The sequence below is a fragment of the Homo sapiens genome, chromosome 20 (genome assembly GCF_000001405.40).
Source record: "Homo sapiens chromosome 20, GRCh38.p14 Primary Assembly".
Classification (NCBI taxonomy): domain Eukaryota; kingdom Metazoa; phylum Chordata; class Mammalia; order Primates; family Hominidae; genus Homo; species Homo sapiens.
In genome coordinates, this window is record NC_000020.11 from 20172967 (window position 1) to 20188873 (window position 15907).

Genomic DNA, 15907 nt, shown 5'->3' on the forward strand with positions numbered 1-15907 from the left:
CAACCACTGATCTTTTTACTGTCGCCATAATTTTACATTTACAGAATGTCACAAAGTTGGAATCCTGTTAGTAGCCTTTTCAAATTTGCTTTTTTTTCACGGATTAGTATGTTTTTCCATGTCTTTTCATGACTGGCTAGCTCATTTCTTTGTAGCCCTGGATAATATTCTGTTCTCTGGATGTACCACAGTGTGTCTACCCATTTACCTACTTGAAAAACCTCTTGTTTGCTTTCAAGTTTGAGCAGTTATGAATAAAGCTGCTATAAACATTCATGTGTAGGTTTTTATGTGGGTGAAAGTTTTCAGCTCATTTAGATAACTACCAAAGAGTGCAATTGCTGGATCCTATGACCAGAATATGTTTAGTTTTACAAGAAACTGTCAAACTATCTGACAGAGTGGCTGAGCCATTTTGCATTCCCACCAGCAGTGAATGAGAGTTCCCGCTGCTACACACCCTTGCCAGCATTTGGTGTCATCAGTGTTTTGGATTTTGGCCATTCTAATCAGTATGTTAGTGTTACCTCACTGTTTTAATGACATGTGGTGTTGAGCATGTCTTCATATGCTTATTTGCCAACTGTATATCTTCTTTGGTGAGGTGTCTGTTTAGGTCTTTTGCCTATTTTTAAATGGGTTATTTCTGTTGAATTTTTAAAAATCAGTGGGTGTGCAGTACTTTTGTGATAGAAAAATGTAGTTAATTTTTTCTACACTGAGATTTTAAATAGTATTATGATTCAAGTAGAATTTTTAAAAATGTACTTTATACTCCGCATTCCTAAATGCATTGGTGACTTTTTTTCTTGGAGTTTTCACTCTGAATAAATACAATTGAATAAAGACACTGGAGATGGAGAGCAATGAGATGATACGGATCTAGGAAGGAGACATCGATCTGACTGTAGTAGCGGCCTTGTTCTTAGTAGCTTTAATTACATAATTTACATTCATATTCTTTTCTTTCACACTCTTTTACTGTGTCCATGCACTACTTTTCTTAATAATAAAATCTAAATCTTTTAAATGATGAGTCTTTCCACACTTGTCTGGGAATTAGTTTGGTTGCAGTGGGGCCCTGGCTTTTCTTCGTAACCTTTTTCAGTGCCAGCTTCATTTTCTTGAATCACTTGCATTTAAAATTGGAGCACATGATGTATACCTGGGTTCTTTTCTGAAATATTAAAGACTCAGAAGCTGAACTAGTTTTTGTGTCTTTAACAAGTCATGTGTTGTCGCAGTTGCCACCTGAGCCCTCATCAGGAACCCTCCTTCACAGCCTCCTCCAGTTTGTCGCCAGCGCACCCGCCAGCCCACACCAGTTTCCCTGCCTGTGCACCTCTGTAGCTTCTCTGAGTGCCATGGTTGTGTCCATCGCCTTTTTCCATTCAAGAAGCCATGCACGGTCCCATAGGGGAAGACATCCCTCGAAACCCACATGCTTATCACCATTAGGGGTGCACATGCAGTGGGCAGTTGTTTTCAACAGAAAGCATAGATCTCCTCTTTAATTCTTTAAACCTTATTATAAGCATAAAAAGCTTTTTAGTGAAACCACACATTTAATGTTAAAAATGGTAGCTTTACCTGTCAATATTGCTCAGTTCCTGTAGGGAGGACAATATTGTTCTTCCCTTTGCTCTTTTAAAGTCCGCACTCCTGCACCCTCTTCAGGCAGCTGATCGTGGCTGCAGGAGTGGAGGAGAGAAAGGAGGGTGGCCAACCTGAAGAGGCTTCTACACAGATGAGAAGGGAGAGCAACCCCCACCCTTACACCCCAGCAATGTTTGTATTAAAAAAAAATGAGTGTGCTAACAAATGAATTTGATGGAATTTCATGTCACACAAAATGCAGTTCGGAAATGTGAGAGTGGGAGTGACCTTAAAGAAGACTCCATCACCTTGCTGGGTTCCTGGCATCAGTTAGCCCGAGGTGGCAGTGCCTGCACAGGGCCTTCCCTTTCTGTCCCCGCGTCCCCATGGCATTCTCTTTAAGTGCCGAGATGTTTCCAGTCAGTCCCCTGCACCTGCAAGTCAGCCAGGGGTGCAAGAGGAGTCCAGGTGCAACAGCCAGGGTCCTTTGTAAGTCAGGGCACTATCCAGTGATGCTCAGTGACATTGCACCCTTTGTATCTGTGAGGACTCACACCTGGCTTTTAGAAAGTGAGGCTTTACAAGAGCTTGTTTGTCCCTTAAAGAAGGCCATCAGGGTGGGCTGGATGTACGGCCACCATGGACCGTGGAATATTCCTCCTTCTTGCTCCTTAGCACCTGGCTTCCCTTCTCAAGTTTACCTCATTTTACTCAAGGACAGTTCTTTCTTCATATGCTCTTCAGTTCCACTGCAAGTGTGGTCCAGGGATCGGCAGCAGCAGCATCTGCTGAGACTTTGCTAAAATACAGAATCCAAGGCCCTGCCCCAGGTTTTCTGAATCTGTGTTGCTAACAAGTGCACCAGTTGACTTTCATGCACGTTAAAAGTTTAAGAAGCACTGTAGGGGCTTCTGGTTTTTTTTTTGTTTTTGTTTTGTTTTGTTTTGTTTTGTTTTGTTTTGTTTTGTTTTGTTTTGTTTTGAGACAGAGTCTCACTCTGTCACCCAGGCTGGAGTGCAGTGGTGCAGTCTTGGCTCACTGCAAGCTCTGACTCCCAGGTTTCACGCCATTCTCCTGCCTCAGCCTCCCGAGTAGCTGGGACTACAGGTGCCCACCATGACACCTGACTAAATTTTTTTTTTTTATTTTTAGTAGAGACAGGGTTTCACCGTGTTAGCCAGGATGGTCTCAATCTCCTGACCTCATGATCCACTCACCTCGGCCTCCCAAAATGCTGGGATTACAGGCGTGAGCCACTGCGCCTGGCTGGGGCTTCTGCTTTTTTAATGGGTACGTCATCTGGTAGAAAATAATTGTGATTTATTACAAAAGAAACTATCATCAGAGTGAGCAGACAACCTACAGAATGCGAGAAAATTTTTGCAATCTATCCATCTGACAAAGGTCTGATATCCAGAATCTATGAGGAACTTAAACAAATTTGCAAGAAAAAAACAACCCCATTAAAAAGTGGGCAAAGGACCATGAACAGACACTTCTCAAAAGAAGACATTCATGCAGCCAACAAACATGAAAAAAAGCTCAAAATCACTGATCATTAGTGAAATGCAAATCAAAAACCACAAAGAAATAGCATCTCATGCCAATCAGAATGGCGATTATTAAAAAGTCAAGCAACAACAGATGCTGGCGAGACTATGGAGAAATAGGAACAATTTTACACTGTTGGTGGGTGTGTAAATTAGTCCAACCATTGTGGAAGACAGTGTGCTGATTCCTCAAAAACCTAGAACCAGAGATACCATTTGACCCAGCAATTCCATTTCTGGGTATATACCCAAAGGAATATAAATCATTCTATTTTACATGCACGCATATGTTCATTGCGCACCGTTCATACTTGCAAAGACATGGAATTAACCCAAATGCCCATCACTGATAGACTGGATAAAGAAAATGTGATACCATAGAATACTATGATACCATGGAATACTATGTAGCCATAGAAAGAAATAAGATCATGTCCTTTGCAGGGACATGGATGGAGCTGGAAGCCATTATCCTCAGCAAACTAACACAGGAACAGAAAACCAAACACCGCACGTTCTCACTTATAAGTGGGAGCTGAATGATGAGAACACATGAACACATGCGGGGGCCGGGAGCGGGGAACAACACACATTGGGGCCTGTCAGTGGGGGTCCGAGGGGAGAGAGAGCATCAGGATAAGTAGCTAATGCATGCTGGGCTTAATACCTAGGTGATGGGTTGACAGGTGCAACAAACCACCGTGGCACACTATGTAACGTATATTTGTCCTGCACATGTATCCCAGAACTTAAAATAGAATTAAATTAATTTTTTAAAAAGAACTGTGATTATCTGTCTTCCAAATACAGATTTTCTATAAAACATATAAGCCATACCTACTTCACTTTTTATTATTTTATTTTATTTTATATTTATTTCTTTTTCTAGACAATTTTAGAAGTTTAAAGGCCACACCTACTTTAAACCTTTTATGATCTAGTAATTTTTTGGTACTGCTGAGTTATTCATTTCTTCTGTATATAAATATAACCTTTTGGTTAGATTTGTACGAATATGTGGACTATAACAGTTTTACATATTTTTTTTCTATTTATACCAAGTAATGCTTTAATTTCTCTTGCTTGTTTCTAGTTCCTGGCCCTTTCTTTTTTCATACACACTTTCCACCTGTGGTTTTCTAAAACCATTTTTTGCATTTCAAAATTTAGGTTAACGATGAGAATGCTTTCATTTGGAAAGGAAAGAAAAACCAACTCAGAATGGCTTCCACTGTAGGACATGTACTGGCTCACATAAGCAGGAGGTCTGGAGATAGGCAGGGCTTTAGGGTTTGTATCTCCAGGGTCTTGGTTTCTTTCCTTTCTTCCACCCTCCCTCCATCCTGAAATTGACGTCGATCACATTGACAAAATGGCCACTGGGTTCCGGGGTGCAGGAGGAGAGTGCTGGCTGATGTCTTGTTTTCCTTCCCAGAGACCCCAGCAAAGCCCCCTCATTCATCCAGTAAAATCCACAGCACTGACTGCATACATGTGCCAGCTTTATCCCAGGTGCTGGGGAAACAGAAATGATGCAAACAGATAGAAATTCTTGCCCTCACGGGGGGCCTGCATTCTAGATGGTGGAGAAAGATGTAAAGGAAAGAGATCAAATGCACAGTATATAGGCACTAAGGGCGAACGTGAAGAGTATAGCAGGTGTGGAGAGGGGATAGGAACTGCTGAGTGGGAGAGGGGCTGCCATTTATTGCCTAGGGTGACAGGAAGGGTGGCCATGAGTAAAGACCTGAAGGAGGTGAGGAGGAGCCACTTGGGCATGGTGAGGGCACAGGTCCTCCACACCTACTCTTTAAAAATGTATCATGTTCTTCTATTTTTTGCTTCACTTCTCTTTACATTTGGGATGAATTGTTTCTGCTCTTAAGTTTGGTTACTTTAAATTTCATGACCTTGTGTTCTGGTCCTCCACCTAATTTCATTCTTCTTCCCTTGGGAAATTATATTTGTGTCTGTCATCTGCCCTCTGGCTGTGCTGGTGAGCACTGGGACAAATTATTCATTCTGTCATTAGTGATGGCTACCTCTTCTGTCAACACATTCCACACCCAGGTTCCCTCTCCTTTTGTTTAGTGACTACAGGCCTTTGAGATGAGAACATTTCCTAATGTTTATGTTAACTTGCACTTTAATTGTGGATAAATTAAATGCTTCCTTTATGATACATTTTCTTCATATATTAACCTCTAAGACACTTCCAAACTTAATATGGGATGAGTGTGTGCTATAGATGATTCTTCTATTTCCGCTGCTTGCTCATTCTTGACCTACCCACTGGCTTTTCTGTCCTCTTGTTTATTCATTAGCAGAGAACATATTCAGGTGAACTGGTTGCCCACTCCATCTTGCCACCCTTTCACATGATGCTTTTCTGAAATTTGACATTTTAAATGTGGGGAAACGTTTCAGATGTATTTGGCTAACCAATATTTATTGTGCTAGGAATTATTTTTTATAAATAAATATTTACTGCTGAGTTAGATCATACAGCCATTAACTTGGCTCAGTAAATAAAATGCATTTAGCTAGTTGTCCTTTAATCGATTCTCCCCCCCACCATTTCTGTTTTCTTTGCTTTTCTGTGAGTGGCTCACACAGAAAATTACCATTGTTCCTATTTCAGGCCCGTGTTATTGTGGAGAGTGTTTTAACATCGTCAGTCCTTGGCCCCTTCTGCTTTTAATCAGCCTCCTTGAACAGAACCCGATAGAAACTTCATTTTTAATTTTGTGGGTTTTATTTTCTTTCTTTATTTATTTTTGATTTAAACTGAAATACTAATGGCTATCAAATTGTTTCATGATTCTATTACAAAGATCACTTCTTTGGAATCCAGAAAGACTCAGATCACTTTTTCTTCTCCCTGTTATTTCATTTTTATTTACTGGTATTAAAAAATTTCCCTATTTTCTGCAAGACATAAAGGGCATCCAGATAGGAAGAGAGGAAGTCAAACTATTCCTGTTTGCAGATGACATGATCCCATGTCTTGAAAATCTCATAGTCTCTGCCCCGAAGCTCCTTAAGCTGAGAAACAACTTCAGCAAAGTCTCAGGATACAAAATCAATGTGCAAAAATCACTAATATTCCTATACACCAACCACAGTCAAGCCTAGAGTCAAATCAAGAGTGCAATCCCATTCACAATTGCCACAAAAAATAAATAATATACCTAGGAATACACCTAACCAGTGAGAGATGAAAGATCTCTACAAGGAGAACTACAAAACACTGCTCAAAGAAATCAGAGATGACCCAGACAAATGAAAAACATTCCATGGTCATGGATAGAAAGAATCAATATCATTAAAATGACCATACTGCCCAAAGCAATTTATAGATTCAATACTATTCCTGTTAAACTACTATTGACATTCTTCACAGAACTAGAAAAAACTGTTTTGATATTCATATGGACCCGAGAAAGAGCCAGAATAGCCAAGGCAATCCTAAGCAAAAAGAACAAAGCTGGAGGCATCACCCTACCTGACTTCAAACTATACTGCAGTGCTACAGTAACCAAAACAGCATGGTACTGGTACAAAAACAGACACATAGACCAATGGAAGAGAATAGAGAACCCAGAAATAAGCCTGTACACCTACAACTATCTAATCTTCAGCAGACCTGATAAAGCAGTGGAAAAAGGATTCCCTATTCAATAAATCGTGCTGGGATAACTGGGTAGCCATGTGCAGAAGACTGAAACTGGACACCTTACTTACACCATATACAAAAATTAACTCAAGGATTAAAGACTTAAATGTAAAACACAAAACTATAAAAACCCTGGAAGACAACCTAGGCAGTACCATTCTGGACATAGGAATGGGCAAAGGTGTCATGATGAAGATGCCAAAAGCAATTACAACAAAAGAAAAAATTGACACATGGTATCTAATTAAAGAGCTTCTGCACAGCAAAGGAAACTGTCCACAGAGTGAACAGACAACCTATAGAATGGAAGAAAAGTTTTGCAAACTATGCATCTGACAAAGGTCTAATATCCAGCATCTATAGGGAACTTAAACAAATTTACAAGGGAAAAACAACCCCATTAAAAACTGGGCACCTGTAGTCCCAGCTACTGAGGAGGCTGAGGCAGGAGAATGGCGTGAACCCGCAAGGTGGAGCTTGCAGTGAGCCGAGATCACGCCACTGCACTCCAGCCTGGGCAACAGAGTGAGACTCTGTCTCAAAAAGAAAAAAAAAAAACTGGGCACAGAACGTGAATAGACACTTTTCAAAAGAAGACATACATGCAGCCAACAATCATAAGAAAAAAAGCTCTACCTCACTGATCATTAGAGAAATGCAGATCAAAACCACCAAGAGATACCATCTCACACCAGTCAGAATGGCTATTACAAAAAAGTCAATAACAGATGGAGAGGTTGCAGAAAAGCAGGAATGCTTATACTCTATTTGTGGGAGTGTAAATTAGTTCAACCATTGTGGAAGACAGTGTGACGACTCCTCAAAGACGTAAAAGCAGAAATAACATTCCACCCAGCAACCCCACTACTGAGTATATATCCAAAGGAATATAAATCATTCTAAGGACACATACACACACATGTTCATTGCAGCACTATTCACAATAGCAAAGACATGGAATCAATCTAAATGCCCGTCAGTGTTAAAGTGGATAAAGAAAATGTGGTACAGATACACCATGGAATACTATGCAGCCATAAAAAAGAATGAGATCTTGTCCTTTGCAGGAACATGGATGGAGCTGGAGGCCATTATCCTTAGCATACTAATGCAGGAACAGAAAACCAAATACCACACATTCTCACTTATAGGTGGGAGCTAAATTATGAGAACACATGGACACATAGAGGGGAAAAACAGACACTGGGGCAAATCAGAGGGTGGAGGGTGGGAGGAGGGAGAGGATCAGGAAACATAATTAATGGATACTAGGCTCAATACCTGGGTGATAAATAATCTCTACAACAAACCCCAATGACACAAGTTTGTCTATATAACCAACCTTCACGCGTACCCCTGAATTTAAAGTAAAAGTTATATATATACACATATATATGCATATATATGTATATATATGTATATATACATATGTGTATATATATAACTTTTATGTGTATATATATAACTTTTATATGTATGTGTATGTATACACACACACACACACACACACACATAACCTTGTGTCTAAAACAATTCATCCACTCAATTTGGGATTGAAAATCCCAATCTTTTTCCTTCCACTTTCATATATGATATTCTACTTTATTGTGTGTGTGACCTGATTAAATACTAGAAACCCTGATCCTTGAGGTCAAAGTCAGCCAAAAACAGGAAGAAGCAAACCTCTTGTGAAGCAGGTGACCCAGACTGCAAGACTCTGAGGACTCAAGAAGGGGCCACTTTGGGTGGGGCTTCATCACTTCTTCACCGAGAGGTGTCATTTCCTGAGGACTAATAGATTCGGGCATTCAAGTACATCAGAGAGAGAAAGCATAAGAGAGAGGTGACCTGGAGAGGTAAAGCCTTGGGAAGCCCTCCGGAGACCTTGCTTTTTCTGTGGATGGAAGAAGCCATGTGGATGGGTAATGAAAAACATAGCTAATCTCCCTCACTGATTCAAGGTAGCTTTAGAACTATGCTTGCACCCTTGGGAAAAGAACACTAAACCCTTCTGGTTACTGAGTACACATTCACTTCTGGGAAGATCAGGCAAGGTGATATGTGGAACAGGTAGAGGGAGGTGGGAATGTTCTCCTTCCTGGCTATAGGCCATGGGACTGAAAGATGGGAGCCACCATAATGGCTAAAATGAAAGAAGCAACTTCCTATTGAAAACTTGCAGAGAGATGAAAGTAGGGCCACGTTTAGGTGCATCCAATGAGCCACCATCTTCTGAAGTCCTGCCAGGCCTAAGTCGGTACATAATCATTGAAGCGGACTTTGTTTTATTGGATATTTATTTAGCAGATTTAAAGTTCATTCCACAGAAGGTCTTGGTATCATTTTATAAACCCTCAATGAATACTCTAAATCTCTATGATTTATCTGAGAATAGGGTAAGAAATAAAGATAGCTGCTTGATAATTTGACAACAGTATTCTGTTGGTACGGATGACATAATATATATTTTTAGATCCATGTCATTTTAATTAAGGATTTTAATTAGTGTTTTTTGTTGAGAATAAAATAGTATGCATCCTTACAACTTTGTCTTAAAGTCATTGTATTTTTCAAGGGGCTTTCTCTAGCAAAAACACAGATGAAGGTCTCCATAACAATTGGTCCGCTTCTAACCTCATGTGCCTTATTTAAAATTTTAAAGAATTGCAGAATTATTTCTCAAAATATGGTCTGGAGTCAATAGCAGTTCAGCTTCACGAGAGCAGAAATTGTGGACTGTCTGGTTCCCTGATGTATCCCCAGCACCCAAAACACGGGCACACAGCAGATGTTTAATAAATATTTGTGATGGAGTGAATGAATGATTCTTAATCCATTTTAATCATTGATTTTAAGGAAATATGTCTTAATTGAGAGTTTATTTCTTACATTTATTCATTTTTCACTTTTTCCTGCCAATTGCTATGTAGAAGCAATTAAAAGCAATTTCCTTTGTAAAGGAAATACCCTTGTAGCAACAAGTATGTGTCCCATTTTTGTTTGTTTGTTTGTTTGCTATGAGAATGCTTTATTAGGCAAAACCACATACTGTGAAAATGCTTTAAAATGCAACAGGAGGAGATGTGAAGACACAAAGAACAAGTGCATAGTGACACATGGCTATCAGAACACACTAAGTAAAGAATCCACACCTCTTCCACCCTTTATCCAGAAAAGGAAGGAGCTAGATCACCTCCTCCTCAGGTTCCCCACATCTCATTCTAGTTAAAGCGAAAACAAACAGGCTGCTGTTCTCAGCACCCAGTGTGGAAGGAATAGTATATATAGAGCCACCTTGCCTCAGAGTCTGCCAAAAAAAGGTCACATGTGGAATAAGACTTACCTTCTGATTTTTTTTTCTTTTCTTTTCTTTTTTTTTTTTTTTAGATAGAGTCTCACTGTTTTGCCCAGGCTGGAGTGCAGTGGCACGACTTCGACTCACTGCAACCTCTGCCTCCTGGGTTCTGGGTTCAAGTGATTCTAGTGCCTTGGCCAACCAAGTAGCTGGGATTACAGGCATGAGCCACCATGCACGGCTAATTTTTGTATTTTTAGTAGAGATGGAGTTTCACCATGTCAGCTGGGCTGGTCTTGAACTCCTGGTCTCAAGTGATCCTCCTGCCTTGGCCTCCCAAAGTGCTGGGATTACAGGTGTGAGCCACCTCACCCAGCCAGCCTACATTCTGCTTTTTGAGCTGAGTAAAAACCTTTTGGGAAATAGTTCTCAGAGGCAAATACAGACATAGAGAGCAGCCCCATTCAGTAGGAATACGCTGTGAGCCACATGTGTAATTTTAGATTTTTGAATAGCCACATTAATTTAAAAATCAAAAAGTAGGTGAAATTAATTGTAACATTTATTTCTTATTTAACCCATTATATCCAAAATATTATTGTTTCAGCGTGTAATCAATATTTAAAAAGCACGAATGAGATACTTTATGTTACTTTTTTGTACCAAGTCCACAATTCAGTGGATATTTTATTCTTACAGCACATCTCAATTCTGAGTACCACATTTCAAGTGTACAGGCTCTTGTACTGGACAGTGTCATTTTAGAGGAGGGCACAAACATACAGCCATAGCCCGTTCCTCCCCCTGAAATTCTAGGAACAAAGGAAAGCTCTGAAATATTCCTCTTTGGTGAATATGAATAGCAGAGATGAATGCAAAATGGTTGTGACCCCTGATCAACAGTAGATTTCCATGGACAGACTGGTGAAACGATGTTTGCAGTTTTGTGCTACTTTGCAGGAAGATAACCCCATGTCCTACTGAACATTTATTGGGCACCACTGTAGGCTACAAAAAGCCCTGGTCTTTTAGAGTGGACCATGATATGGTCTGAGCTTCAAGCCTTGCTGGGGGAAGATGTCCACTTATTCTCACTTTCCAGTCCAGTATCCAACAACACTCTTTATAACTCAGTTGTAGTATTTATTATATGTAAAAAAACATGTAATAAGCATGGGGAAGCTCTCTGGCTATCTCCATGCAAGCTTCATGATTAGTTCACTTGACAGCTGTTTATTGAGCATCTACCATGTGCCAGGCATTGCTCTAGCCATGAGGTGGCAGCAGTGAGCAAATAGACCAACACTGCCATCTTTGTCAAATTTTATTCTAGTGGGAGGAGACAAACAGTGAAAAACAAAATAAAGAGAAAGTAGGAAGTGCTGTGGAGAAAAATAGAACAGGGAATGAGGATGGAAGGTCAGGGTCCAAATTTTAAATAGGGGGTCAGGGTCAGGGAGGGCGTCACTGAGAGGGTGAAGTTTCAGCAAAGACTCAATGTTGAGGTGATGGAACAGGCTCATAGATTTGCTGGAGGAGAATTACAGGTAGGAACTTCTGATGAGGTAACTTCTGATGAGGTAGGAACTTCCTCAGGTAGGAACTTCTGATGAGGTAAGAACTTCTGATGAGGCAGGAACTTCTGATGAGGTAGGAACTTCCTCAGGTAGGGAATTCTGATAAGGTAGCACCTTCTGATGAGATAGGAACTTCTGATGACATAAGAACTTCTGATGAAGTAGGACCTTCTGATGAGGTAGGAACTTCCTCAAGTGGGAACCTCTGATGAGGGACTATGTCTGGCATGTTTGAGGAACAGCATAGTGGCCTGTGCAGCAGAGCAGGGAAACCAAGAAGCCAACTATTTGGAGATGAGTCAGAGCAAGCAGCAATCCCAGAGGGAGGGCACGGGGAAGGAGGCTGTGGTCATGGAGAGTTGGAGAGGGGGCTCTCAGCCACTGTAGAACTTTGGCTTTTACTGGGAGTGCAAGCTTATGCTCGTAAATGTAGCAAAATTATGGTAATTATTAGACTCCCTGCTGAATCATGTTTGTTTAATGAAGCTCGTATATTGTAATCTTATGTATCTTACTTTATGCATTTAAAAATATTCTGAGAGGGGCCATACACATAAAAGAGGTTAAGAACACCTCTATTACTGGGAATTTGAGTATAAGAGTCTTGTGATCTGACTTAACATTTGATAAGCATTGCTCTGGCAAATTGGTGGAGGATGGCTTGTCAGGAACAATGGCAGAAATGTGGAGAGACACTAGTATGCTGTTCCAGCAACCCAGGAGAGAGGTGGTGGAGGCTGGACTAGCACTGGAGGTCTTGAGAAGTCGTTCCATTCTTAGATGCATTTTGAAAGCAGAGCCAGCCCAAAGTTAGGCTGAAAGAGAGGTGTGCAAGAAAACAGATGAGGCCAAAGGTCTGGGCCTGAACCACTGGAAGGATGGAGTTGCCATTACCTAAGACAGGAAAGACAGCTGGGTGGAGGGCTTTGGAATGGAAACAGTGAGACGACTCTTAGATGGCCATGTCTTTTTCATTTGGGGGATGTAGTGTACTTTAGCTTAAGTTTATCCATATCTTCCACAGTATCTTAAATGTGTTGTCTGACACCAGTTTCTGAGAGAGGCATATTAAACTCTACCAATATGATGGTGAATTTCAAACTCTTCTCATAACCCTGTCCATTTTTACTTCAGTATCCTGGAGCTTTATTGTTAGACACCTATACATATGGTATTGTTATATCTTCCTAGTGAACTTTTATTATCAAATAAAGACCTTTTTCTCATGATTTTTGCCTTAAGATCTGGTTTAGCTGATATTTATATAGCTATGCCAGCTTATTTTTTTGCTATTAGTTGCCATTCCCTTTTCCTTTCAATTATTTTGGCATTACATATATTTTTGTAACAGCTTTATTGAGATGTAATTCACATGCCATACAATTTGTCCACTTCAAGTGTACAATTCAATGGTTTGTAGTAGAGTTACAGCATTGTGCAGTTACCACGTCTATCTGGTTCTAAAACATTTGCATCACCCAGAGGACACCCTGTACCTGTCAAGCTGTCACTCCCATTCTCTTCTCCCCTCAGCCCCCAACAATCACTAACCCACTTTCTATCATTGTAAATTTGCCTATTCTGGACATTTCATATAAATGGAATTACACAACACGTGGCCTTTTGTATATGGTTTCTCTCACTTCGCACAATGTTTTTAAAGTTCATGCATGTTGGAGTATGCATCAGTACTTTATTTTCTTTTATGGCTGAATAGTGTTCTGTTGTATGTATCAATCATACTCTGTTTATCCATTCATCAATTGATGGGCATTTGGGTTGTTTTTTCTTGGGCTATTGTGAATAATGCTGCTATGAAAATTCATGTACAGGTTTTGTGTGGACATATGTTTTTAATTCGCTTGAGTATTTTTCTAGTGCTTTTGTGGTCTTGTTTGTTACATTTACATCTGTAATCCACTGAACTAGATTTTGGTGTAAGGTGGTCATATAACAACCAAGTTCTTATCTTTCACTTAAAATTGCTCATAAACATTAAGATGGTATTAATTGTTCATCTTTTTATTAGTTAATTATAGATACAGATATTGTTCTTTGCAAATATGATACTTTGTTCATAATATGGAAGCATGTATTAAAATTTAAGCACAGATGTTCCCTACAGTTAAAAGTTAAATAGATTAGGATATTTTATTGTATCAGCACGAGGAGGAATGGCATTGTCCCATTGAGTAATAATACCCTAGTAACTGCAGAGAATTCACTGCAAGGCTAGCTACATAATATACAGGACCCATTACAAAATGAAAATGTGAGGCTCTGGCCTGGTGTGGGGCAGTCAGTCTCTCCTTCCCATGGGCTCCAACCCATGGCAAACAGGCATCCAACTAAGGGCTTGCAACCTCTGCACCAGGATGCACTGAACACCTGGGTGGGGGATGGGTAGGAGGTCCACACTGAGTTGCTAGCCGAACACGCCATGGCACTGCCTGCCCAAGGTGGGGACAGCCACCCCCTTGGTCTGACCAGAGACTCCATGTGTCATGTAGCTGACTCATGAGCCTCTCTATACCCTTGTCCAGGAACCCCACTGGGTGTTGGCTGAACACGGGCTTCCCCCAACCAAAGCAACCAATGTCGCTCCTGGCAGAAGGAGGAGGCAGCTGTCATGAGGCAGGAATGGGGAGGCTGTCTAGGGCCCAGGGTGCCAGGGGCAGGGAGCAGGTAGGAGAAAACCATCATGGAGAGACTGTGGGGATCACACGTGAGCAGAGGCTCCAAGGCCCCTGACGTGCTCCATTGTGTCACTTAACTTCACTTAAAAGCATGAAGTCAAAGATAAAATTATTAAGAATTTTTGAACGGTGGCCTCAGAGCAATAAACTCTGAGTGTGAGGCTCTAAAAAGCACACAGCACTGTGCTGCTCCCTGGGTCCCACACTCATGAAGCCAGCCCTGGTGCAATGTGACTTCTTTGTAACATAATTTAAAAATTGGAAGGATTTTGACTCTGTTTATGAAATAAATCATAGTGCTATTTTAAATTAAATGTATTTAAAGTATCTCTGTGTTGTCTTTGGTTAATGGCATTATCAGTGATATTTACCTTATTCTTCACACTTTTTTGTGTTTCAGGTTTTCTATAATGAAATGAGTTACTTTTATAATTACTCAAACCCCAGTGTTATATAAACATACTTTACTGGATATTATTTTATATAAGTGTGATATATTACAATTCTGTCTCCATTTGGGGGGAATACATATTTAGTACTTTAACTTAAAAATATATTCCTCTCCTTACCCAGGTCCATTAATATAAGATTTGCCACTCTCTTGGATACTCCTGGTGTGGAAAATCTTGTCAGCACCCTCATGTTGAATAAAAGCATATTGGAGGACTTAGACCGTTACAACAAGGCTCGCAAAGACCCTGTAAGTACCTGTTGTGACCAGACCTCAGGATATGGGACCATTATGATGACCCATGTAGATTCAGCCCTGAAACTTCCTTGGATCTGAGTTGGAAAATCATATGGCAGGGGGCAGTGGAGGTAGAGTTAGAAGATGGGAGCAAGAAGAGAAAACTGTGGAGACTGGGGCTTGAGGAAGTGAGACCATTCTCAGTGGGGATCCCCCAGAGGGATCAGATACCCAAAATCCTTCTCAGGAAGATAGAAAATTTGGACTTGATCCAAACAATCATATCAAAATGAGATGGATCCTAGTCTTTGGGATAGGTAGATACAGTATGACCATGGTTAGGGAAGGGTAGCTTAGGAATCCATGGGTATCTGGTGCCCACCTCAGCAGCACTGGGTACCAGATTGAGGGTAGTGGGACCCTGTTTGAGCCTATGAGATGATGAGTCTGACCAGACCCTTTTGTTGAGCTGGCTGCATCCCCCAGGATTACATGGGCTGGGAAAGATCCTGCATGATAAATGTTGGGTTCTCTTTCTAGTGTAGTAATGCATGTATGTGCTATGGCAAAAGTCAGGCTTGTGGCAGTCTGTAAATTAATACTGCTGTCTTAGGGCCATGACAGTTAATCTGACTACACATGGAAAGATGAAAGAATATTGTGCATAGTCACTTTTTTGATACATTTTATTTTGAAAAAAAATTTATTGAGGTATAACCAATAAACAGTGTGATGGATTTCACAATTTGCATACACCATGTAACCAGCACATGTTTTAAGAAACAGACTTAACCACAGCCTGCTGGAAGTCCCCTGATGCCTCTACTCA

The 15907-nt window shown here is 40.5% G+C and overlaps 1 protein-coding gene across 1 annotated transcript in view; it reads left to right on the forward strand.

Annotated features, from left to right (window-relative positions):
• Window positions 1-15907, forward strand: part of CFAP61 (cilia and flagella associated protein 61) — a 308167-nt gene that overhangs the window by 120435 nt on the left and 171825 nt on the right. The window contains exon 14 of the mRNA NM_015585.4: window positions 14964-15090. Within this exon, the coding sequence (NP_056400.3) occupies window positions 14964-15090 (127 nt within the window). The remainder of the gene's footprint in view (window positions 1-14963; window positions 15091-15907) is intronic.